Source organism: Homo sapiens, chromosome 19 (genome assembly GCF_000001405.40).
Source record: "Homo sapiens chromosome 19, GRCh38.p14 Primary Assembly".
Classification (NCBI taxonomy): domain Eukaryota; kingdom Metazoa; phylum Chordata; class Mammalia; order Primates; family Hominidae; genus Homo; species Homo sapiens.
This window is the reverse complement of record NC_000019.10, coordinates 4587045-4612734: the sequence shown is the minus strand read 5'-3', so window position 1 is coordinate 4612734 and position 25690 is coordinate 4587045. Positions and strand designations below refer to the sequence as shown.

Sequence of the window (25690 nt, the reverse complement as noted above, 5' to 3'; positions counted from 1 at the left end):
GGAGGCAGAGCTTGCAGTGACCTAAGATCGTGCCACTGCACTCCAGCCTGGGTGACAGAGCAAGACTCCGTCTCATTCTGTTGCCCAGGCTGGAGTGCAGTGGCACGATCTCGGCTCACTGGAACCTCTGCCTCCCTGGTTCAAATGATTGTCCTGCCTCAGCCTCCCATGTAGCTGGGATTACAGGCCCCTGCCACCACGCCCAGCTAATTTTTGTATTTTTATTAGAAATGGCATTTCACCATGTTGGCCAGGTTGGTCTCGAACTCTTGGCCTCCAGTGATCCACCTGCCTCAGCCTCTCAAAGTGCTGGGATTACAGGCATGAGCCACTGCAGGTGGCCATTGTTAAAATTTTCAGCATAGTCCTCCTTATCTTTTAAAGATACCAATTGGTCATGCCTATAATACCAGCTCTTTGGGAGGCCTAGGCAGGTGAATCACTTGAGGTCAGGAGCTCAAGACTAGCCTGATCAATGTGGTAAAACCCTGTCTTTACTAAAAATACAAAATTAGCCAGGCGTGGTAGCGCACTCCTATAATCCCAGTTAGAGGAAGGAGAACTGCTTGAACCCAGGAAGTGGAGGTTGCAGTGAGCCGAGATTGCGCCATTGCACGCCAGCCTGTGCAACAAGAGAGAAACTCTGTCTCAAAAAAAAAAAAAAAGATACAAATTGAAAAATTGAAATATTTATGAGTCAATTATATGATACCCAGTATTCTTTCTTTCTTTCCCGCTCTCATTTTTTTCTCTTTCTTTTTTTTGAGACGGAGTCTCACTCTGTCACCCAGGCTGGAGTGCAGTGGCGTGATCTCCACTCACTGCAACCTCTGCCTCCCAGGTTCAAGCGATTTTCCTCCCTCAGCCTCCTGAGTAGCTGGGATTACAGGCGCCCGCCACCACGCCCGGCTAATTTTTGTATTTTTAAGTAGAGACGGGGTTTCATCATGTTGGTCAGGCTGGTCTCGAACTCCTGACCTCAGGTGATCTGCCCACCTCGGGCTCCCAAAGTGTTGGGATTACAGGCATGAGCCACTGCGCCCATCTCAGTGCATATTTTCTGGATGAACAAACGTGTACCTCTCCACAATCCCGTCTTTCTCCAAGCCTCAGTTTCCTCCCCTGTGAAACAGGGTGAATCTCTCCTGTGGGAAGTGTGAAGTGGGGGCTTCATATAGACAGCCTCCCCGCTCTCAGCTCAGGCCCGGGTGGAGGGGGTGCCCTCTTTCCAGGATTAATGGTGTCCCTGCCTCTGGGATTCAGATTCTGGCTCCACTGGGCATTCGGATCCTGAATCCCAGAAGGTCTCAGGGCTGAGCCCCGGAGCTCTGAGCTGAGGAGACCCTGAGTTAGGGACTGGGGGCACTCAGCCAGTTTGTGGAGGGGGTCTGAAGTACCAGCTAGGGGGAGGGGTGGGGACCAGGACAGGGTTAGAGCCCCAGACCCCAGGGGTGCCCCAGAGAGGAAAATTGGGGAGGGGGATGGGCTAGGGAGCCTCTCGCCTGCCTCTATCTCTCTGTTTCTTCCCCATTCTCTTTCTAAGTCTCTGTCTCTGTCTTTCTCTGTCTCTAGGTCTCTCTGAGTCTCTTTTTATCTCTGACTACCTCTTTTGATCTCTATTGGTCTCCTTTCTCTTGTTTTCTCTCTGTCTCTTTGAATCTACTTTTATCCCTGTCTTTCTTTCCCTCTCTCTCTCTCTCTAAGTCTCTTTGTCTCTCTCTCTCTCTCTCTTTTTTGGCGGGGGGACAGTCTCCCTCTGTCTCCCAGGCTGGAGTGCAGTGGTGCAATCTCGGTTCACTGCAACCTCTGCCTCCCGGGTTCAAGCGATTCTCCTGCCTCAGCCTCCCGAGTAGCTGGGATCACAGGCGCCCGCCACCACGCCCGGCTAATTCTCCATCTCTCTGAGTCTCCTTTTATCTCTGACTATCTCTTTCTATCTCTGTCTCTGTTGTTCTCTCTCTCTCTAGGTCTGTGTCTCTCTATCTCTCTGAGTCTGTATCTCTGTGGGTCTCCTCTGTCTCTCTGAGTCTCCCTTTATCTCTGACTGTCTCTGTCCATCTCTCTGTGTTTCTGTCTTTGCCACCTTCTGCGTGAGTCTCTCCGTGTCTTTTATCTGTCTGACTCCAGCTCAGCTTCTCTGTGTGGGTCTCTTTCTATCTCTCTTGGTTTCTCTCTTTCTCTCCTCACCTCCTCTGTCTCCCCTTCCCAGGCTCCACTTCTTTCCCCCACCTCTTCCTGGGTCCAGGTGCGGGCCCCCTCCCCGCCTCCACCCTGCCCTCCTCTGGCGGTGTCAGCCCTTCCCGTCCAAGCCAGAAAAAGCAGCCAGGCCAGGGCAGGGCAGCCAGCCAGCCTCTCTGCTGGGGACCCCAGGGACTCCAGCAGGACTCCCGCCTCCCTGGCCTGATCCCCAGGGGCTCTGCCCCCCCCTCCCCGCCGCAGAAGCCCTGCCTCCCTCAGCGCCTCTTCCCTTCCTCTGCCTAGAGGTCCTGTGTTATTGCTGCTGGCACCTGAGGCTGCAGAAAAAAAAAAGGAAGTCGCAGTCACCGTGGCTCCTACTTGTCCTTCTCTCTGCCCCAAGTCCTCGGAGCATGAAAAACTCCACCTCCGTGTGAGAACAACACAGTGGGTGCTTCATAGTTGTTTGCGGAATAAACAAACACGTATTGAGTGCCTACTGTGTGCCAAACAGTATTTGAGGTACAGGGGACACTGTGGCATTCAAGACAGACAGAAGTCTGCCCTCCTGGAGTTGACATTCCAGAGCAGGAGGCAGATAGGAACAAGCACACATTGTACCATGTTGAGTAGTGCCTGCCTGCAAAAATAAATTCAAAAATTACATACACTTCGGTTGGGACCGGTGGCTCAGGCCTGTACTCCCAGCACTTTGGGAGGCTGAGGCGGGTGGATCACGAGGTCAGGAGATCGAGACAATCCTGGCTAACACAGTGAAACCCCGTCTCTACTAAAAATACAAAAAATTAGCTGGGCGTGGCAGTACGCGTCTGTAGTCCCAGCTACTCGAGAGGCTGAGGCAGGAGAATCGCTTGAATCTGGAAGGCAGAGGTTGCAGTGAGCCAAGATCATCCCAGTGTACTCCAGCCTGGGCGACAGAGCGAGACTCTGTCTCAAAAAAAAAAAAAAAAAAAAAAAAATACATACACCTCGGTTGGGCGCGGTGGTTCAAGCCTGTAATCTCAGCATTTTGGGAGGATGAGGTGGACGAATCACTTGAGGTCAGGAATTTGAGACCAGCCCGGCCAACATGGTGAAACCCCGTCTCTACTAAAAATACAAAAATTAGCCAGGCATGGTGGTGAGTGCCTGTAATCTCAGCTATTCAGGAGGCCGAGGCAGGGGAATCACTTGAACCTGGGAGGCAGAGGTTGCAGTGAGCTGAGATTGTGCCACTGCACTCCAGCCTAGGCAACAAGAGTGAAACTCCATCTCAAAATAAATAAATAAATAGAAATTAAAATAAAAGCCCGGGCGCGATGGCTCATGCCTGTAATCCCAGCACTTTGGGAGGCCGAGGTGGGTGGAACATGAGGTCAGGAGATCGAGACCATCCTGGCCAACATAGAGAAATCTTGTCTCTACTAAAATACAAAAAAAAAAAATATATATTAGCCAGGCATGGTGACACACGGCTGTAGTCCAAGCTACTCAGAAGGCTGAGGCAGGGGAATCATTTGAACCCAGGAGGCAGAGGTTGCAGTGAGCCAAGATCGCGCCACTGCACCCCAGCCTCGTGACGAGCGAGACTGCGTCTCAAAAATAAATAAATAAATAGGTCGGGCACGGTGGCTCACACCTGTAATAATCTCAGCACTTTGGGAGGCCGAGGCAGATGGATCACTTGAGGTCAGGAGTTCGAGGCCAGCCTGGCCAACATGATGAAACCCCGTCTCTACTAAAAATACAAAAATTAGCCGGGGGTGGTAGCACACGCCTGTAGTCCCAGCTACTCGGGAGGCTGAGACAGGAGAACCGCTTGAACCCAGAAGGCAGAGGTTGCAGTAAGCCAAGATCACACAACTGCACTCCAGCCTGGGTGGCAGAGTGAGACTTGGTCTCAGGAAAAAGATCATAAGTAATAAAAATACAAATACAAAAATTAGCCGGGCATGGTGGCAGCTGCCTGTAATCCTAGCTACTCAGGAGGCTGAGGCAGGAGAATCACGTCAACCGGGGAGGTAAAGGCTGCAGTGAGCCGAGATCACACCACTGCACTCCAGCCTGGGCAACAGAGTGAGACCCTGTCTGAAAAAAAAAAATTATACACACCCAGAACCTCAGAATATGAGCTTTTTTGGAAATAGGGTCTTTGCAGATGTAATTGATTCAGGACCTCGAGATGAAATTCATCTGCAGGCTTCATGGTCCTTTGCTGTGTTATCTTGCTTTGAACAACCCGTACACGGGAACTAATTCAATTTTTTGTTTTGAGATGGGGTCTCACTCTGCCACCCAGGCTGGAGTGCAGAGACACAATCATTGCTCACTACAGCCTCGACCTCCTGGGCTGAAGCAATCCTCCCATCTCAGCCTCCCAAGTAGCTGGACTATAGATGTGCGCCACCACACCTGGCTAATTTTTTTATTTTTTTTGTGATGGGGGTCTGACTATGTTGCCCAGGTTGGTCTTTAACTCCTGGCCTCAAGTGATCCTCCCACTTCAGCCTCCCAAAGCACTGGGATTACAGGTAGGAGCCCCCCCCGCCACAACCCAGGCTGCGCTCATTCTTTTTTCTTTTTTTTGAGATGGAGTTTTGCTCTGTTGCCCACACTGGAGTGCAATGGCGCAATCTCGGCTCACCACAACCTCCGCCTTCCGGGTTCAAGCAATTCTCCTGCCTCAGCCTCCCGAGTAGTTGGGATCACAGGCACCCGCTACCACGCCCAGCTAATTTTTGTATTTTTAGTAGATTTGGGGTTTCACCATGTTGGCCAGGCTGGTCTGGAACTCCTGACCTCAGGTGATCCACCCACCTCAGCTTCCCAAAGTGCTGGGATTACAGGCGTGAGCCACCGCACCTGGCCTCATTCTTAACCAGGCCTCGACAATCCTCTTCCCTTCCCTTCTTCAGGACCGAATTTCGAGTCATCATTCCAATCTCAGTGTATGTGTTGCCTCCTCCAGGAAGCCCACCCTGATGTCTCCCCTGGCCCCCACTGGAGGGCGTCTTGTCCCTACTGTTTCCTCGAACCCAGCACATGACCTAGCACACAGCTGGTGCTCAATAAATGTCTGCGGCTTGCATGACAAGGGGCTGCTCTCCCCGATCTGTAAATAGCCCTGGCCTAATGATAAACATAATGAGCTCACACACGGGGACTCATAATTGTGACAGGCAGGTGGGCCCTGGTGGCCACGTGACCCCTCAGCTCCAGCCCGCGCCGGGCTCAGCCCAGCGCCTGCGCCCACGGCAGAGCCACAGCCTCCTCATTAAAGCAGGCCTTTTACTTAGGCAGGCGCTGCCAATTCTAATTGATTGTCTGCGTCCCTGGGGGCACTCGAGTTCCCGAGGTCAGCAGCTGGGCCGGGTCCAGGCCGAGGCAGGCGGGAGGGAAGCCGGCTCCCGGAGAGGGAACAAGGCGTGGAGATTGGACCCGCCGCCTCTACCTACGCGCTCCCTCCTGTGGCCCCCGGGACTGGGGCACGCGCTGCCCTGCAGGCTCAGGTTCCGGAGGCTGATGTGGCCCCCACCCCAGACCCGTGCAAGCTCCTGGTATGTGTGATGTTCCTGCACCTGGTCATGCCAAGAACACGTGTTGACAAACCCACAGGTCCAGAGCCAGAGGTGGTAGCACACAGGGGCTGGACTCGGGGTGGTGGGGGGGCGGGGGTGGGGGGAGGAGAGGGGAGTGGGGGGGCTCAAATCTAACAGCTCTATGCCTCAATTTTCCCGTCTATAAAATGGGATCCTAATACTACTACCTTTTTGTTGTTGTTGTTTTTGAGACCGAGTCTCGCTGTCTCCCAGGCTGGAGTGCAGTGGCGCGATCTCAGCTTACTGCAACCTCCACCTCCCGGGTTCAAGTGATTCTCCTGCCTCAGCCTCCCAAGTAGCTGGGATTACAGGCACCGACCACCAGACCTGGCTAATTTCTGAATTTTTAGTAGAGACGGGGTTTCGCCATGTTGGCCAGGCTGGTCTCGAACTCCTGACCTCAGGTGATCCACCCACCTCAGCTTCCCAAATAGCTGGGATTATAGGTGTGAGCCACCATGCCCAGCCTCTAATACCACCTTTCTCACGGGGCTTCTTGGGGTAATTAAATAAATGCATGCCTAGGAAATGCTGAAGCCCGGCTCTAGCCTGTACTTAGTGTTCTGTGGAGGTTATCACTTATGCATTTCCACAAGTATTGAGCACCTACTGTATGCCAGGCTGTGCAGTTTCAGTAGTGAATAGAACACGCAGATTGCTGTCCTTGTAGAGCTGACATTCAAATGGTGAGAGAGAGTAAACCTAATTTTAAAAAAGTGAACATTGGGGCTGGGCACAGTGGCTCACGCCTGTAATTCCAGCACTTTGGGAGGCTGAGAGGGGAGGATTGCTTGTGGCCAGGAGTTCATGACAAGCCCGGGCAATAGCAAGACCCCATCTAACTTTTTAAAATTATTATTTTATTTTATTTTATTTTTTAAGACAGACTGTTGCGGGCTGGGCGCAGTGGCTCACGCCTGTAATCCCAGCACTTTGGGAGGCCGAGGTGGGTGGATCACGAGGTCAGGAGATCGAGACTGGCCTCACCAAAATGGTGAAACCCCGCCTCTACTGAAAATACAAAAATTAGCCGGGCGTGGTGGCGGGCGTCTATAGTCCCAGCTACCCAGGAGGCTGAGCCAGGAGAATCACTTGAAGCCAGGAGAATCGCTTGAACCCAGGAGGCGGAGGTTGCAGTGAGCCGAGATCGTGCCATTGCACTCCAGCCTGGGCCACAAGAGCGAAATTCCATCTTTAAAAAAAAAAAAAAGAGTGTCGCTTTGCTGCCCAGGCTGGAGTGATTGCAGTGGCAGGATCTCAGCTCATTGCAACCTCAGCCTCCTGGGTTCAAGTGATTCTCCTGCCTCAGCCTCCTGAGTAGCTGGGATTACAGGTTTTACCATGTTGTCCAGACTGGTCTCGAACTCCTGACCTCAAGTGATCTGCCCACCTCAGCTTCCCAAAGTGCTGGGATTACAGGCACGAGCCACCACGCCTGACCACAAGACCCCACCTCTAAAAAAAAAAATTAAAAATTAGCTAGGCATGGTGGCACATGCCTGTGGTCCTAGCTACCCAGGAGGCTGAGGCAGGAGGATTGCTTGAGCCCAAGAGTTCAATGCTGCAGTGAGCTGTGATTGTGCCACTGTAATCCAACCTGGGTGACAGAGAGACCCTGTCTCCAAGGAAAAAAACGAGTGAATGTTAAAGTGTTTTGGGGAGGACACAGGTAACACACACACACACACACACAGTCTGAACGTGGTGAAAACATATGCACACAACTTAGAAAGATAGGTTCTCTTATGTCCATTACACAGATGGGGTAAATGAGGCTCTGAGACGAAAAGAAAATGGGCTAATTCAGGAACCTGTAACCATTTCTGTAACAGTCCATGCTCCACGTGGCCCCAGAGCCTTTGCACCTGCTGTGCACGCCATAAATGTCCATTAGCTGAAAGGATTCAGCCCGGCTCCTGGGTGCTGCCCCCTGTCACACATAATCTATAAACTGGCAGGTGGGATAGGCCAGACAGGGGTCTCCCACCTCCCAGCCTTCATCAGGCCTGTCCCTGCCTCAGTAACCCGATTTCTTGAAGCTGTTTCCAGCTTCTCATTCTCCCTGGAGAAGCTTCATTACTCCTCTAGGGCTGAGATGCAAGAACCTGCAGCCTCCAGGACTTTCAAACCAACACATTAAAATAAAAACCAACAACTTCTAAATGGAGACCCTTGGGACTAGACCTTGGGCTGTGAGGCCCTGGCTGCCTGCTGTCACTTTTTTTGTTTGGTTTTGTTTTGTTTTTCGTTTTTTTGAGACGGAGTCTTGCCCTGTCGCCCAGGCTGCAGTGCAGTGGCGCGATCTTGGCTCATTGCAAGCTCTGCCTCCCGGGTTCACGCCGTTCTCCTGCCTCAGCCTCCCGAGTAGCTGGGACTACAGGCGCCCACCACCACGCCCGGCTAATTTTTTGTATTTTTAGTAGAGACGGGGTTTCACCGTGTTAGCCAGGATGGGCTCGATCTCCTGACCTCATGATCCACCCACCTCGGCCTCCCAAAATGCTGGGATTACAGGCCTGCTGTCACTTTTAACCTTGTGGGAAAGGGCACGACAGACTCTGGGGCCATTGGAGAATTGTCTGAAGCATCAGGAACTTGTAATAACCCGCATTAGGGTAATGATTTTTTGTTTGTTTGTTTTGAGACAGAGTCTCACTCTGTTGCCCAAGCTGGAGTGCAGTGGCGTGATCTCAGCTCACTGCAACCTTCACCTCCCGAGTTCAAGCAATTCTCCTGCCTCAGCCTCCTGAGTAGCTGGGATTACAGGCATATGCCACCACGCCCAGCTAATTTTTGTATTTTTAGTAGAGACGGGGTTTCGCCATGTTGGCCAGGCTGGTCTCGAACTCTTGACGTAGAGTGATCCACCCGCCTCGGCCTCCCAAAGTGCTGGGATTACAGACGTGAGCCACCGCACCCGGCCTGGTTCTTTTTATAGTAAAATTCCGAGACCCATCAACACTTGCTGTCTCCACTTCCCCATTTCCTGTTCCCTCCTAAACCTGCTCCAATGGGGCTCTCACACCCCCCACGCCCTCCTGAAGTTGTCAGCCCCACAGGAGAGGGATTTTGTCTGCTCTGTTCCCTGCCGGACAGACGCCCAGTGCCTAGAAGAGCACCTGGCATGCAGCAGGTGCTCAATACGTGTTTGCTGAAGGAGTGAATGGCTGGATGCTCTCTTAGATGCTGCCCTGGAATTGATTCCAGAATCCTTCTCTACCTACTTGGAACTGACTCCAGTAGTGTCTATCCCACCCACCACCCTCTCACCCCATCTGCTGTGTGAACCAAGCTTAGAGCTCCCTACAGAGGAAGGGTGAAAAACAATCCATCCATCCATCCACCAGTAATCCATATATCCATTCACTCACCCATTAATACATCCACCAGTAATCCATATACCCACCCACTAACTCATCCATCCATCCACCCACCAATAATCCATATATCCATCCACACACCCACCCATCCATCCATCCACCCACCCATCAATCTACCCATCCATCCATCCATCCATCCATCTACTCATCCATCTATCCAACCATCCATCTATAATCCATATATCCATCCACTCACCCATCCACCCATCCATCTACTCATCTATCTATCCAACCATCCATCTATAATCCATATATCCATCCACTCACCCATCCATCCATCCTCCCATCAATCCATCCATCCATCCACCCACCCATCAATCCTCCCATCCATCCATCCATCCACCCGCCCATCCACTCATCCATCTATCCAGATCCATCCATCCATAATCCATATATCCATCCACTCACCCATCCATCCATCCACTCACCCATCCATCCATCTACTCATCCATCTATCCAACCATCCATCTATAATCCATATATCCATCCACTCATCCATCTACTCATCTATCTATCCAACCATCCATCTATAATCCATATATCCATCCACTCACCCATCCATCCATCCACCCATCAATCCATCCATCCATCTACCCACCCATCAATCTACCCATCCATCCATCTACTCATCTGTCTATCCAACTATCCATCCATAATCCATATATCCATCCACTCACCCATCCATCCACCCTCCCATCAATCCATCCATCCACCCACCCATCAATACTCCCATCCATCCATCCATCCATCCATCCATCCACCCACCCATCCACTCATCCATCTATCCAAATCCATCCATCCATAATCCATATATCCATGCACTCACCCATCCATCCATCCACCCACACATCCATCTATCCACCCATCCATTCATCCATTTACTCATCCATCCATCCATCCATAATCCATATATTTATCCACTAACCCACCCATTAATCCACCCATAATCCATATAACCATCCGCCCTCCCATCCATTCACTCATCCATCTATCCACCTACCCATTCATCCATCCATCCATAATCCATTCATCCATCCACTCATCCATACATCCATTCATCCATCTATAATTCATACCTGCACCCATTTATCAATCCACCCACCTACAATCCATACATTCACCTGTTCATCCATCCATCCATAATCCATACATCCATCCTCTCGCAAATACATACATCCACTTACCCACCTACCTACCCACCTACCTCTCTATTCATCCATCCATCCATCTATCCATCCGTAATCCACACCTGCACCCATTTATCAGTCCGCTCACCCATAATGCATACATTCATCTGTTCATCCATCCATCCATCCATCGTCCATACAACTATCATTTCACAAATCCATACATCCATTTACTGACCAACCTGCCCACCCACCTCTCTATTCATCCATCCATCCATCCATCCATCCACCCGCTCATCCATTCATCCATAATCCATCCATAATCCATCCATTCATTTATTCACTCATCCATACATCCATCTATCTAATCACCCATCCATTCACCACCTTTTTTTTTTTTTTTTTTTGAGATGGAGTCTCACTCTGTCACCCAGGCTGCCAGGCTGGAGTGCAGTGGCACGGTCTCGGCTCACTGAAAGCTCTGCCTCCTGGGTTCAAGTGATTCTCCTGCCTCAGCCTCCCAGGTAGCTGGGATTACAGGTGCCCACCACCATGCCTGGCTAATTTTTGTATTTTTAGTAGAGACGAGGTTTCACCTTGTTGGTCAGGCTGGTCTTGAACTCCTGACCTCAGGTGATCTGCCCACCTCAGCCTCCCAAAGTGCTGGGATTACAGGCGTGAGCCACCACGCCCAGCTCCTATTCACCACCTTTCTACCCATCCATCCACCGATCCAACCACCCTCACTCCCTCCCTACCTCATGCACTCATTCACTCAGAGGCAGGCTAACCCTTATGCTCATCTTTATTCCTCCCCCTGCCTGCTTTGTGCCCTTGAGCCAGGCCCTCCCTGTCTCTGGCCCTTGCTTTCCTCCTCTGCACAGTGAGGCTGATGAGAGCACAGACCTCCAAGTTTTGCACAGTGGCCTCAGGCCACACACAGTTGTTATTTGTTGTGACAGACAGCAAAGGGTGGTGGTTAAGAGTGCAGCCTGGGCTGGGTGCGGTGGCTCACACCTGTAATCCCAACACTTTGGGAGGCCAAGGTGGGAGGATTGCTTGAGCCCAGGAGTTCAAGACCAGCCTGGGCAACATGGAGAAACCCTGTCTCTACAAAAAAACGCAAAAGTTAGCCAGGTGTGGTGGTGCAAACCTGTAGTCCCAGCTGCTCAGGAGGCTGAGGTGGGAAGATCACCTGAGCCCGGGACACAGAGGTTGCAGTAAGCCGAGATCGAGCCACTGCACTACAGCCTGGGCAACAGAGTAAGACCCTGTCTCAGAAAAAATAAAAAATAAAAAAATAAAGAATGCAGCCTGGAGTTTGAATCCCTGCTCTGTGACTTCCCTGCTGTGTGACCTTGGCCAAGTGACAGAACCTCTCTGAGCCTGTTTCCCATCTATAAAATGAGGCTGATAATAGCACCTGCCTCCTTGGGGACTGTTGGGGGGGATTGCATGCAATTACACATGTTGCATATCGGGTTCAATAAGTGCTGGATGGGGCTGTTAATGTATGTTTATGGTAACCCCAGGAGGTAGGGCACGGCTGTGAGTGCCTGACAGGCTGATGCCCAGTGAACTCTGAGAAGGGAGCAGCTGGCAGGAACCTTGGTGACTGCTGTGGCAGGCGGAGGGGGCAGCTATGCCCCTTCTCCCCTCTGCTTGTAGTGGGAGAGCTAGGGGGCTGCTGGCCCAGCAGCCTCAAGTGAGGACCCAACAGGTGCACCTGTTTATGTGCAGAAAACAGGGTCTGCACCCCCTCTGCACCCAGGGAGTCACAGTCCAGGGTGGGAGCTATGGAGGCTTTGCTCTGTGCACTCTCTGGCAATTACCCTGACAGGGGCAGACTCAGAGTCCTCACCATCAGGGGCCCTGGGTCGTCTACACAGTTCAGGCAGGGGAGACAGAAGGTGTGGCAGTGGAATCCACTATATCACTCAACAGGCACGGGGACTGGTTCCCAGATAGAGTTACCCCAGGGAACCATCTCACACCCTCAATCCCTAACTCCAAGCCTGAGGGCCTGGAAGGGCCTGGGACGATGACCTCCCCACACACAAGCCTCTCTGAACCTCATAGAAAGCACAAACTCAAGCCAGGTGCGGAGGCTCATGCCTGGAATCCCAGCATTTTCAGAGGCCGAAGCGGGAGGATCACCTAAGCCTGAGTTCGAGACCAGCCTGGGCAACATTGCGAGACCCTGTCTCTACAAAAAAATAAAACAGCCAGGCGTGGCGGCGCACATCTGTAGTCCCACCTACTCGGGAGGCTGAGGCAGGAGGATAACTTGAGCCTGAGAGTTGGAGGCTGCAGTGAGCTGAGACCACTCTATTGCACTCCAGCCTGAGTGACAGAGGGAGACCCTATCACCAAAAAAGAAAAAAGGCACAAACTCAGAAGGAAAAAATATAGTAACAATAACATTTATAAAGGGTTTTCTACAAGCCAGTATGTACTAGAATTAATTTTTTTTTTTTTTTTTTTTTTTGGACAGAGTTTCGCTCACCGTAACCTCTGCCTTTCAGGTTCGAGCAATTCTCTTGCCTTAGCCTCCTGAGTAGCTGGGATTACAGGTGGCCGCCACCACACCCAGCTAATTTTTGTATTTTTAATAGAGACAGGGTTTCACCATGTTGGCCAGGCTGGTCTTGAACTCCTAACCTCAAGTGACCTGCCTACTTTGGCCTCACAAATTGCTGGGATTACAGGCGTGAGCCACCGCGCCCGGCCTAGAATTAACTTTCACTGTCACAGCCACGTTATGAAGTAGATGCTATTATAGACCCCATTTTGTTGACGGGGAAACTGAGGCACAGAGCGGCAACATGGCCTGACCAGTTGCACAGCTGGTAACTGGCACCCAAGTTTGAACCCTAGACTGTTTAAGCATCTTATTCCCCACACAGTAAAAACAGCCCAGGAAATGGGTACCACCATCTGCCCACGGTACAGATGAGTAAACTGAGGCTCAGAGAAGCTGTTAGGTCATGTGGAGAGAAAACAGGAGAGTTGGGGCTCGGGTCCTGGGCCATAGCCCCAAAAGTGTGGTCTCCTCACTGCTTCAATCACCAAATGCTCTCTGGGCCTCGGTTTTCTCATCTGTAAAGTGGGTTTAATTGCAAAATCCAACTGGGAAGGCTGTGATGATGAACATATCAGAGCAGGCATGGAAGACCCCACTGTGGGATGGGGCAGAGCAGGAGGGCCTGCAGAGGAAGGAAGGATGTCGAGTGAGTTGGAGGTCGCCGTGGGGACAGCAGGGGGACAACGTTTCCCATGGCCACGCTCTCGAACCTTTCTCCCACCTGGAGCAGTTGGAGCTGCCTCTGGCACCCCCTGCCTGAAAACTCATATCCACAGCCGTCACCCCCAGCATCTCCCCAGTCACCTTGTGCCCCCTGTCCCCTCCCAGAGAACAGCGCAGCCTCTGTGTCTAGGCGTGAGGTTTGCCAGCGTTGCCCAGAGACGACTGGGTAGCAGGCGACTCCCGCCCCCTGCATGCAGACCCCGGCCCGCCCAGCCTCCAGGACCCCCTCACCAGGACAATGGACAGGCCAGGGGAGGAGGGGGACAGGCAGGGCTCGGGGCCTTGGGGAGCCTGGGAACGAGGCGGCTCTGAGTTGGCGTGCAGAGAGGGGGCTCCGAGAGGGCAGGGGGCAGGGCCGGGGGGACTTAGAGAAGGGGGGGCTCCGGGACGGGAGGGGGACATGGGGACTTAGAGAAGGGGCTCAGAAGGGAGGGGGTGCACAAAGGGAGAAGGTTCTCGGGGAGGGGAGGCAGCTGAGCCTCCTCCCCCACAGTGGCTCCAGAAGCGAGACCACCCCCTCCCCGTGGCACGGGCTCGCGCCGCAACAGGTGTTGGGGGTTCTGAAGGCAGCACTAAGAGATGCAAAATCCCTTTCGGAAGTAAAGTGACACAGGCCTGCACCGCTCTAAATACAGACACAGCTGACTGGCGGTGGGGAGGTCAGAGGGAGCCAGGAGGGCCCGAGGAGAGGGAGGGAGGTAGAGCATGGGATAGGGGCGACCCCGAGCCCCGGGGACGCACGCGGTCAGGTTTCTGGATGGTCAGAAACCCGGTGACTTGATACACTCCTGACCCTGTGTCCTGGGGCCCCAGGGGAGGACAGAACTTAGGCGGCCCCCTCTGCCCCACTCAGCCTCCTTGAGCCCTGTTCCCGCCCCTCGAAGAGCCCCCCCTCCCCTCTCCACGCCCCTCCCCAACCTCAGCTTCCTCTCCTCTCAACCCCGCCCCACTCAGCCCTGCCCCACAACGCCCCCCGCCTCCGAGCCCCGCCCCTCTCCTCTCAGCCCCACCCATTTTCTCTCAGCCCTGCCCCTTCCCGCCTCGCCCCTTCTTCTCAGCCCCGCCCCTCTCCTCTCAGCTTTACCACTTTCAGCCCCTCCCCTCTCTCAACCCCGTCCTCTCTCGGCCCCCTCTCTTCTCTCAGCCCCTCTCGTCTCTCAGCCCCCCTCTCCTCCCTCACCCCTCCCCTCTGAACGTCTCCCCCTCTCGGCCCCTTCTCCTCCCTCACCCCTCCCCTCTAAGCCCCTCCCCTCTCTCAGCCCCCTCTCCTTCCTCAGCCCCCTCCTCTCTCAGCCCCGCCCCTCTCTCAGCTCCTCCCCTTGCGGGGCGCACCCCGACTGTCAGCTTCTTCTGGGGCTGTCCATTCTGGGCCAGGAAGAATAGAAACGTGACCCTTTGGTCCAGGGTGGCCTCCCTGGCCCTTCCTCATCTGAGCAACAAAGCTCTCCAGGTTCGACCATTCAGGGGCGCCCCGCACAGTTCCAGCCCCTTCGGCAGGGACTCTCCCTACAGAGACCCCCTGCCCGGCACACCAGTCCCGGGCTGGGCTCCCCTGAGCAGAGACCCTGCCAGAAGGACCGTCCTCCATGAAGACCCCTTCAGATCCCAGCGTGGACCTCAGCACCTGATTCCTCATCCTTGAGCTGGGGTTCCCCCAGCATGGAAGTGCGCGATGGGCAGAAATTCTGACTTCATCCCTTCATCCTTTCATTCGTATATAGAGCGTCTAGTACCTACAGTCGTGAGCTCTGCAAACCTGTGCTAGGGGCCAGGGATACAGGGATACGTGACCCCGACAGAGCCGGCCTCGCCCCCAGTGCGGTTCGCAGTTCAGTGGGGGAGGTGGTCATTGCGGTGATGGGGGTCAGAGGGCCTAGCTGGGGGGCGCACGGGAGTTTATGATGGCTCCCTGAAGGCTTTCCTCAGGACGTGTGATCTAACCTGAGGGCTAAAGAAATCCATTAGCTGCCGGGCACGGTGGCTCACGCCGGTAATCCCAGCACTTTAGGAAGCCGAGGCCGGCGGATCACAAGGTCAGGAGTTCGAGACCAGCCTGGCCAACATGGTGAACCCTCGTCTCTACTAAAAATACAAAAATTACCCGGGCTTGGTGGCGGGCGCCTGTAATCCCAGCTACTCGGGAGGCTGAGGCAGGAGAATCGCTTGAACCCGGGAGGTGGAGGTTGCAGTGAGCCAAGATCGCACCACCGCACTCCAGCCTGAGACAGAGTGAGACTCCGTCTCAAAAAAAAAAAAAACAAAAAAACAAACAACAAAAAAAAACCCCATTGGCGGGGCAGGCTCACGCCTGTGCTCCGGGCAGAGGAAAGAGCCAGTGCAAAGGCCCTGAGTCAGGACCAAGAGCCCTGGCTGGCAATCCCAGCTTAGCCATTTTCTTGCTGTTTGTCCAGGACAAGTGGCCAGTGCTTTCTGAGCCTGATCTCCACATCTGTAAAGGGGACTCCTGACATATTACTCAACTAAAGGGTTCAGGAGGGCACCTGGCATATAGTAGGTGTTGAATAATATTTGTCAAAAGTGGATGAAGGAATTGAGAGGCGTTAGAGAATGCGAAAGAGGAGGCGCTTGGCTCCCATCTGGAGGTGGGTGGGTTGGAGCAGCTCCTGACCTCTTCTCCTGGCCAAGGCCCCCTCCCCCCCCCAGGCCCCTCCTCCCTGGCCCGTCAGTCCCCTGCCAGCTGTCTCTCCAAGTGTGCGCCAGCCCGACAGGAGCAGGCGCCTGTTCCGGAACGCCTGATGCCTTGCTTCCCAGGGATTTTAGAGGGACAGGTCCGCGGAAGTTCAGCTGCCACACAGGCTTAACCCTGGAGCCTGGGCGCCGGGTCCTCAGAGGCCCGATGCCATCCCTCTTGACCCCATAGAGAGCCCGGGCACTGCTCCCAGCCTTCACTGGAAAGACCTTGCTTCAACTCCGAGCTCTGGCCTTGCCCGGCTGTGTGGCCTTGGGAAATTTAGCCAACATCTCTGGTCATCTCCACCAATAATAATACTTACAAGATGATGTGGTGGCTCAGGCCTGTAATTCTTTGTAAATTTTTTTTACAAATTACAAAGAATTCGTGAATTCTTTGTAATTCTGTAAAACTTTGGGAGGCAAGGCAGGAGGATCACATGAGGCCAGGAGTTCCAGATCAGCCTGGGAAACATGACGAAACCCTGTCTCTACAAAAATAAAATAAAATAAAAATTTTAGCCAGACATGATGACACGTGCTTGTAGTCCCAGCTACTCAAGAGGCTGACACTGGAGGTTGGTTTAAGCCCAGGAGTTTGAGGCTGCAGAAAGCCATGATTGTGCCACTGCACTCCAGCCTGGGCGACAGGAGACCCTGTTTCAAAAAAAAAATTAGACCAGGTGTGGTGGCTCATGCCGGTAATCCCAGCACTTTGGGAGGCTGAGGAGGGTGGATCACCTGAGGTCAGGAGTTCGAGACGAGCCTGGCCAACATGGCAAAACCCTGTCTCTACTAAAAATACAAAAAATAGCCAGGCATGGTTGTGCATGACTGTAATCCCAGCTATTCGAGAGGCTGAGGCAGGAGAATCGCTTGAACCTGGGAGACAGAGGTTGCGGTGAGCTGAGATCACGCCACTGCACTCCAGCCTGGGTGACAAGAGCAAAACTCCATCTCAAAAAGAAAAAATAAAAAAAGTCTTTTCATGAATAAACTCTATTATTGTAACAGCTCTCTGTGTTCCCAAGTATTACTGACCCCATTTCACGGATGTGAAAACTAAGGTATGAAGACGGAGGTTACCCAATTTACAGCACAAAATAATCCAGTCAATAATAATCACAATCTCTGGGCGCGGTGGCTCATGCCTGTAATCCCAACACTTTGGGAGGCTGAGGCAGGTGGATTACTTAAGGTCAAGAGTTCGAGACCCGCCTGGCCAACATGTCAAAACCCGTCTCTACTAAAAATACAAAAATTAGCTGGATGTGGTGGTGTGCACCTGTAGTTTCAGCTACTTGGGAGGCTGAGGCATGAGAATCACTTCAACCCGGGAAGCAGAGTTTGCAGTGAGCCGAGATTGCACCACTGCACTCCAGCCTGGCAACAGAGTGAGACTCCATTTCAAAAAAAAAAAACTAGCCAAGCGTGGTGGCCGGCACCTGTAATCCCAGCTACTTGGGAGGTTGAGTCAGGAGAATCGCTTGAACCCGGGAAATGGAGGCTGCAGTGAGCCGAAATTGCGCCGCTGTGCTCCAGCTTATCTCAAAAATAAATTAAATTGTCAATTAAAATGAAATAAAATTAAAAATTCAATTCCTCACTTGCTGAAGTCACTGTTTTTTGTTTGTGTGTTTGAGACACGGTCTCGCTCTGTCACCCAGCCTGGAGTGCAGTGGTGGGATCATAGCTCACTGCAGCCTCGACCTCCTGGGCTCAAGCAATCCTCCCACCTTAGCCTCCAAGTAGCTAGGACTACAGACCCACACCACCACGCCCAGCTAATTTTTATTTTTTTTTTGGTAGAGACAGCTTCTCGCTATGTTGCCCAGGCTGGTTTCAAACTCCTGGGCTCAAGCCATCCCCCAACCCACCTCGGCCTCTGAAAGTGCAGGAATTACAGCCGTGAGCCACTGCACTCAGCCTCAAGTCACCATGTAAGCGCTGAATAGCCACATGGCTGCTGACTACTGTGTTAGCACAGATTTCAAACGCCTCTTTCACTGCAGGAAGTTCTGTTGGAACCTTGCTGTGGGAGCATGTGCTTGTCTATGACTTGGCCATGTGATGAGAGCTCAGGCCCTGCGAAGTTACAGTTAACTTGATCATTTCTGTCTGTCTGGTAGAAAAGAGAACCCCAACTAGGGCTTTACTGAAATATAGACCATTAATTCGTTTGTATCTAGCCTGATCTTAATCTAACATTCCACCTTAAAAAAAAAAACAATCTCGGTCTGGGCGCGGTGGCTCATGCCTGTAATCCCGGCACTTTGGGAGACTGAGGTGGGCAGATTACCTGAGGTCAGGAGTTCGAGATCAGCCTGGCTAACATGGTGAAACCCCATCTCTACTAAATATACAAAATTAGTTGGGCGTGGTGGCGCACGCCTGTAATCCCAGCACTTTAGGAGGCTGAGGTGGGCAGATCACCTGAGGTCAGGAGTTCCAGACCAGCCTGGCCAACACGGTGAAACCCCATCTCTAATAAAAATACAAAAAATTAGCCAGGCATGGTGGTGGGTGCCTGTAATCCCAGCTACTTGGGAGGCTGAGGCAGGAGAATTGCTTGAACCAGGGAGGCGGAGGTTGCAGTGAGCTGAGACCGCGCCATTGCACTCCAGCCTGGCAACAAGAGTAAAACTCCATCTCAAAAAAAAAAAAAAATCTCCGTAGATACCTAGTTCCTCAAATACTCTTAGAACCAGCCTCAACATTTTATTGGTTCCCTGAGTAATGAGCTAATGAATCATGGACATGTGCTTACTTGACGTTTGGGTGACTCAAGTTTTCAGCATTTCTTTTCTTTCTTTCTTTATTTTTAGAGACGGGGCCTTGCTCTGTTGCCCAGGCTAGAATGCAGTGGTGCAATCATAGCTCACTGCAACCTCCAATTCCTGGGCTCAAGCAAGCCTCCTGCCTCAGCCTCCCGAGTAGCTGGGACTAAAAGCAAGCACCACCATGCCCTGTTAATTTTTTTCAAAATTTTTTTTGTAGAGATAGGGGTCTTGCTATGTTGCCCAGTCTCAACTTTTTGAGAACTATATATGTCTTTTTTTTTTTTTTAAGTTTCTCTTCTCTTTAACTGAACAGAACCTGGAAGAGACATGTAAATCCCCATTTTGCAAACAGGGAAACTGAGGCCAGCTCCTTGCCTCCCCCCATCCCAGACCCCCTCCAAGCTCAGGGGTCCAGTTGTTGCATACCTAGCTCTCCTCATTTGAGGACCCACCCTCCCACCGCCCGCCCAACTTCTAGAAACAACTCTGAGAACCTGTCTTTCTCCTGATGCAGCCAAGAACCAGGTCAGCCCAACGCTGGGACATCAAAGGGAATCTATAAATACAGCTGCAGGAGGAAAAATAGACACTTTCCTGGCCCCTCCCAGTCTTCCTTCTCTCCCACTCCAGATCTTTCCTGGCTGGGTTCCCACCCCAGGAGCTGGGCTGAAGCCCTCAACCCCAGGGACCCCCTACAGGAAGGCAGTGGAGGGGAACAGCTGATGGCACCCCAGTTTTCCCCAAGAAACTCAACCTCCTCTGCCCTCTCCTCCCCTACCAGGCAGCTGAGAAAAGAGGGATATGGCTGGGTCTTTCCTCTGCAGACGTGGTTCTGACCAGAGGTGCGCATTACCAGCTTGTCAAAATCTTCAGTCCCCAGAACCAGGGAATCTTCTTTCCATCTCCTGGGGAACGTGTAGGGCTTCTGCCCTGTGCTGGGCTCTGGGAAGCTGGCAGGAACAAGGCTGACTTAGTTGGGGCAGTCAAGGAGAGCTTCCTGGAGGAGATGATATGAGCTGAGCCCAAAGGATGATGGGAATGATTGGAGAGGGTGAAGAACAGGTGGCGAGGGGGATGGAAGGGAAAGAGTTTGGAGTCCTCCTTCATTCTTCGCTCTTCATATATATATATTTCCTCCCCATCTGGCCCCTACTCCTCCTTCAGGTCTCAGCTCAATGTCACCTCCTCAGAGAGGCCCTCCCTGATGCCCCCAGAGAATCGCTGCCCTTCATTTTCTCTTTTTAAATTTTCCTTTTTTTTTTTTTTTTTGAGACAGGGTCTCGCTCTGTCATCCAGGCTGGAGTGCAGTGGTGTCACTACAGCTCACTGCAGCCTCAACCTCCCTGGCTCAAGCAATCCTCCTGCCTCAGCTTCCTGAGCAGCGGGTACCACAGGCACATGCCACCGTGCCTGGCAATTTTGTTTTATTTTTTATTTTATTTTATTTTTGAGACGGAGTCTCACTGCTGCCCAGGCTGGAGTGCAGTGGCATGACCTTGGCTCACTGCAGCCTCCATATCCCAGGTTCAAATGATTCTCCTGCCTCAGTCTCCCAAGTAGCTGGGATTACAGGTGCATGCCACCATGCCTGGCTAATTTTTTGTATTTTTAATAGAGTCGGGGTTTTGCCATGTTGGCCAGGCTGGTCTCGAACTCCTGACCTCAGGTGATCCACCCGCCTTGGCCTCCCTAAGTGCTGGGATAACAGGCGTGAGCCACCACCGCACCTGGCCTCCTTCATTTCTTTTCTTCCTGGTCCTTATAATAATCTGAAATCATTTTAGCCAATTACTTGTTTCCTCATTATCTATCTGCAAATGCCTGGAGAGGGCAGAGACCCTGCCCACCTAGATTATCTCCCTCTCTCTGTCTAGAACTCACCTCCACGGTTTTCCCACCTGTAAAGCAGGGTGGAAGTGTGACAAGTCGCTTCCATGGAGAAGCTGCTGGCCTCATTTGTCATTAAAGTTACTATTTTCCTTGCAAACGGCTTGCCTGGTTCTGTAGACTCTTGTAATCGATATGCTAATTGATGCAGATTTTATGTAAATGATACGGATGTTTATTTCTCCCTAGAAATTCCCCACTGGCCTTGGGGATCCCCGAAGAAGCTGGGGAGGGGGTAGAGCTGTCTCAGCCCAGGTTCCTTGGGGACCCACCCACACTTAGGCGGGTGAGGGTTGAGGAGCATCTGGAACTTCCCCTACCCCCTCCTCCTTCCTGGCCTCCAGGCTTTGCCCAAAGATGAGCAGATCTCTAGACCCTGGGGTGGGGACGGGGATGGGGGGATAGAAAACTGGAGACCCAGGGGAAAGACTGAGACAGAGACAGTGAGAGAGCAAGATTGAGAGATGAGGAAGCAGGCGGTGAGATGGACCTAGAGACGGAGACGAAAGGAGAGAGGCCTGGAGGGGTGAGGAGAGAGGGCAAGGCAGGTTCCCCCTGCAGTCGCAGAGCAGGCTGGGGACGGACTACAGAGGGACCTGTCCCCCACCATGCTTTTGGAGTAGAGGAGCGACCTTCCCATCTCCATCCTGGACGCAGCCTTTGGAATCTTCTGGAAGGGAAAACTGAGTCCAGATAAGGGAGGGCCACCAGCCTCACCATCATTGCAGGGCAGGGGCAGGGAGGCTTCCCTGACAATCTCCTGAACCTTACCAGACACTTATTGAGTGCCTACTGTATGCCAACTCTATGTTGGGCAGTGCTGGACATCACCTTGGCCTGGACAGTTCTGGGCCCGGTCCTTGGGCTCCCAGTCGGGTGTGTGGGATTCAAACTGAGACATTTACCTTGGGAATGAAGGAGGACGGGTTGACCAGGTCAACCTGGGGGGAGAGGGAGGCAGAAGGCCAGGAGGAGAGAACAGCCCGTGCAAAGGCCCTGAGGCAGGGTAGAGCTTGGCGCCCTAGAGGAGCTGAATTAATTCCAAAAGCCCCCTTACCTGCCTGCCCTCCCTTCCTCCCATTCCTCACTCTGTTCCAGCCACACGGGCCTCCTCGTTGTTCCTCCAACATGCCAGGCACGGTCCTGCCCCAGGACCTTTGCACAGGGCTGTGCCCGCCCACCTACTACACTCTTTCCCTAGGTACCTGCATGATTTTTTATTTATTTATTGAGACAGCTCTGTTGCCCAGGCTGGCAATAAGATTTTAGACATATGATCTCTGCTCACTGCAACCTCCGCCTCCCAGGTTCAAGTGATTCTCCTGCCTCAGCCTCCTGAGTAGCTGGGATTACAGGTGTGTGCCATGACGCCTGGCTAATTTTTGTATTTTTAGTAGAGACAGGGTTTTACCATGTTGGCCAGGCTGGCCTTGAACTCCTGACCTCAAGTGATCTGCCCGCCTCAGGTTCCCAAAGTGTTGGGATTATAGGCATGAGCCACTTTGCCCAGCCGCTGCATGATTTTCTACCCCCTCTTCTTCAAGTCTCTGCTCACATATCACCTCCTCAGTGAAGCCTTCCCTGACTACCTGTTTAAAATCTTTCTGCTAGGCCAGGCGTGGTGGCTCATGCCTGCAATCCCAGCACTCTGGGGAGGCTGAGGTGGGAGGATCCCTTGAGCCTGGGAGTTGGAGGCTGCAGTGAGCTATGATCAGGCCACCACGCTCCAGCCCAGGGCCACAGAGTGAGACTGTATCTCTAAAAACTAAAATAAAATGAGTGAATCCTCGCCTCTGATCTCTGAACTCTGCCAAGATGAGGGTCCATTTGTGTCTTGCTCAGCCACTGTGTCCCCAGCACTGCCTAGTAGAGCCTGGTACACAGTAGGTGCTCAATAAAGTTAGCTGAAAAATAGGCCAGCAAGGGGCAAGACCCCCGAGGCTCAGTTCTGCTTCCTGAAGGTGTCGGAGGTTTTGTAGTGGACGCTGAGCAGGCCCCCTGGTGGGGAGGGAAGGGTGTGATCTGAGCTCGACACCCTTGATGGCCTCTCTGCACACTGTCAGTGTCACCTGTGTGGCTGGCCTTAGTGGCAATGACGAACTGCCACTAGCTGAGGTCATTCACACACACACCCTCCACCGTCACTGCCTGTTTCTGCTGTTGCTATTATTTTTATTTATGTATTTATTTATTTTTGAGGCAGAGTCTCATTCTGCTGCCCAGGCCGGAATGCAATGGCGTGATCTTGACTCACTGCAATCTCTGCCTCCTGGATTGAAGTGATTCTCCTACTTCTGCCTCCCAAGTAGCTGGGATTACAGGCACCTGCCACCATGTCTGGCTAATTTTTTGTTGTTTTGTTTTTTTGAGACGGAGTCTCTCGGCTCACTGCAACCTCCACCTCCCGGGTTCAAGTGATTCTCCTGCCTCAGCCTCCCGAGTACCTGGGATTACAGGCTCCCACCACCACACCCGGCTAATTTTTGTATTTTTAGTATAGACGGGGTTTCGCCATGTAGGCCAGGCTGGTCTCGAACTCCTGACCTCAGGTGATCCGCCTGCCTCGGCCTCCCAAAGTGCTGGGATTACAGGCGTGAGCCACCACGCCCAACCATATTGTATTTTTTAATACATTTGTTTTCTGTGCTTGGATCTTGCCACCCTTTCTGCATACCAGTTCTGGTTTTCTTTCTATCTTTAAAGAAAAAATGTGGGCCAGGCGCGGTGGCTCACTCCTGTAATCCCAGCACTTTGGGAGGCTGAGGGGGGCGGATCACGAGGTCAAGAGATCGAGACTATCCTGGCTAACACGGTGAAACCCTGTCTCCACTAAAAATACAAAAAATTAGCCAGGCGCAGTGGCGGGCGCCTGTAGTCCCAGCTACTCAGGAGACTGAGGCAGGAGAATGGCGTGAACCCGGGAGGCGGAGTTTGCAGTGAGCCGAGATCGTGCCACTGCACTCCAGCCTGGGGGACAGAGCGAGACTCCGTCTCAAAAAAGAAGAAAGAAAAAATGTGGTAAAACACACATCACAGAAAAATCAGCATTTTAACAATTTCTAAGTGCACAGTTCAGCGGCATTAAGCACATTCACGTGGTTGTGCAACCATCACCGCCATCCTCTCCGGAACTTTCTCCTTTTCCCAATCTGAAACTGTCCCCAAGAAACACTCACTCCCCACCCACTCCCCAGTCCCTGGCACTCCCCATCTACTTTCTGTCTCTATGAATCTGATGACTCCAGGGACCTTCTAGGAGTGGAACCACACTGGATTTGGCCTTCTGCGTCTGGCTTACTTCACTGAGTCTGACGTCCTCAAGATGCATCCACATCTGAAGCCTGTGATGGCTGAGTCATATTTCACCGTGTCCATGGACCCCCTTATGTTGATCCATGTATCTGCTCATTGGCAGTCGGTTTGCTTCTGCCCTTTTGCTGCTGTGAACACGGGTGCCAGGATCTGTTCTGGTCATCTGTTTTTATTTCTCTTTTGACAATGCCCTACGCAAATGTAACGGCATCAAAGCTCCTTCCCACAGCTTCCAAGAGAGGAGGAAGATTAGGAAAAATCACCAAGAGGAAGAAACAAGAATCTCAGGACCTCCCATGGAGAAGACTACTTATCTTTATTAAGCACCAACTATGTGACAGGCTCCAGCATTTTTTTTTTTTAATGGGGGGACAGAGTCTCGCTCTATCGCCCAGGCTGGAGTACAGCGGCATGATCTCGGCTCAGTGCAACATCTGCCTCCCAGGTTCAAGCCATTCTCGTGCCTCAGCCTCCCAAGTAGATGGGATTACAGGCACGCACCACCACGTCCAGCTAATTTTTATATATTTTTTAGTAGAGACAGGGTTTCACCATGTTGGCCAGGCTGGTCTCAAACTCCTGACCTCAGGCGATCCACCCACCTCAGCCTCCCAAAGTGCTGGGATTACAGGCATGAGCCATGGCGTCCGTCCTAGGCCCCGGCATCTTTTGGAATGTTCTCATGTTAAACAACTTGTTCACAGCTGGTGAGTGGTAAAGCTAGGGGATGGACGCCAGTGTGTGAGCTGCAGAGATCACATCCACTCCACTGTCTGCTTGCTTGCCTCTCTTGACAGGCAGCTCACTATCCCATCACTGATTTTAGAGAAAAGAAAACAGTGGGTGGAAAAGAGCCATCCTCTCCAACTTGGGATGATCAGGGAAGGCCTCTCAGAGAAGGGAACGTTGGTGGGGAACAGCTTCCAGGCAGTGGGAACAGCAAGTGCCAAGGCCCCGAGGCAGGAGTGAGCTGGGTGTGCTCACTAGGCTGGAATGGGAAGCCTAGGGGAAGGGAGATCTAGGGGAAGGGAGATTTATTTTTTATTTTTTTATTTTTTGAGATAGAGTCTTGCTTTGTTTCCCAGGCTGGAGTGCAGTGGCACGATCATCTCGGCTCACTGAAACCTCCGTCTCCCGGGTTCAAGGGATTCTCTTGCCTCAGCCTCCCGAGTAGTTGGAATTACAGGCATGCACCACCACACCCGGCTGATTTTTTGTGTTTTTAGTAGAGATGAGCTTTTGCTGTTACCCTGGCTGGTCTCGAATTCCTGAGCTCGGGCAATCCGCCCTCCTTGGCCTCCCAAAGTGCTAGGATTACAGGCATGAGCCACCGCACCAGGCCAGAGGGGAGATTTTGAAAGCGGAGAATGTGACACCTGCCCCTGCCCAAATGACACTCACCTCCCATGCCTCAGTTTCCTATCTATACCCA

General features: G+C 52.4%; 6 annotated features.

Moving 5' to 3' along the window:
• Positions 4891-5448: an enhancer, noted in NCBI's record as "H3K4me1 hESC enhancer chr19:4607299-4607856 (GRCh37/hg19 assembly coordinates)". NCBI's record gives its function as "activates a minimal SCP1, AML or CMV promoter by ChIP-STARR-seq in primed H9 embryonic stem cells {active_cell/tissue: H9 hESC(primed)}" and the evidence as "EXISTENCE:reporter gene assay evidence [ECO:0000049][PMID:30033119]".
• Positions 5449-6007: an enhancer, noted in NCBI's record as "H3K4me1 hESC enhancer chr19:4606740-4607298 (GRCh37/hg19 assembly coordinates)". NCBI's record gives its function as "activates a minimal SCP1, AML or CMV promoter by ChIP-STARR-seq in primed H9 embryonic stem cells {active_cell/tissue: H9 hESC(primed)}" and the evidence as "EXISTENCE:reporter gene assay evidence [ECO:0000049][PMID:30033119]".
• Positions 14214-14423: a silencer, noted in NCBI's record as "silent region_9896". NCBI's record gives its function as "represses an Ori minimal core promoter by ATAC-STARR-seq in GM12878 lymphoblastoid cells {active_cell/tissue: GM12878}" and the evidence as "EXISTENCE:reporter gene assay evidence [ECO:0000049][PMID:35858748]".
• Positions 14494-14543: a silencer, noted in NCBI's record as "silent region_9895". NCBI's record gives its function as "represses an Ori minimal core promoter by ATAC-STARR-seq in GM12878 lymphoblastoid cells {active_cell/tissue: GM12878}" and the evidence as "EXISTENCE:reporter gene assay evidence [ECO:0000049][PMID:35858748]".
• Positions 14704-14998: an enhancer, noted in NCBI's record as "tiled region #4167; K562 Activating DNase matched - State 4:PromP". NCBI's record gives its function as "activates a minimal TATA promoter and a strong SV40 promoter by Sharpr-MPRA in K562 cells {active_cell/tissue: K562}" and the evidence as "EXISTENCE:reporter gene assay evidence [ECO:0000049][PMID:27701403]".
• Positions 16375-16566: a silencer, noted in NCBI's record as "fragment chr19:4596181-4596372 (GRCh37/hg19 assembly coordinates)". NCBI's record gives its function as "represses an EF-1alpha promoter that drives an FKBP-Casp9 reporter gene in an ReSE screen in K562 erythroleukemia cells {active_cell/tissue: K562}" and the evidence as "EXISTENCE:reporter gene assay evidence [ECO:0000049][PMID:32094911]".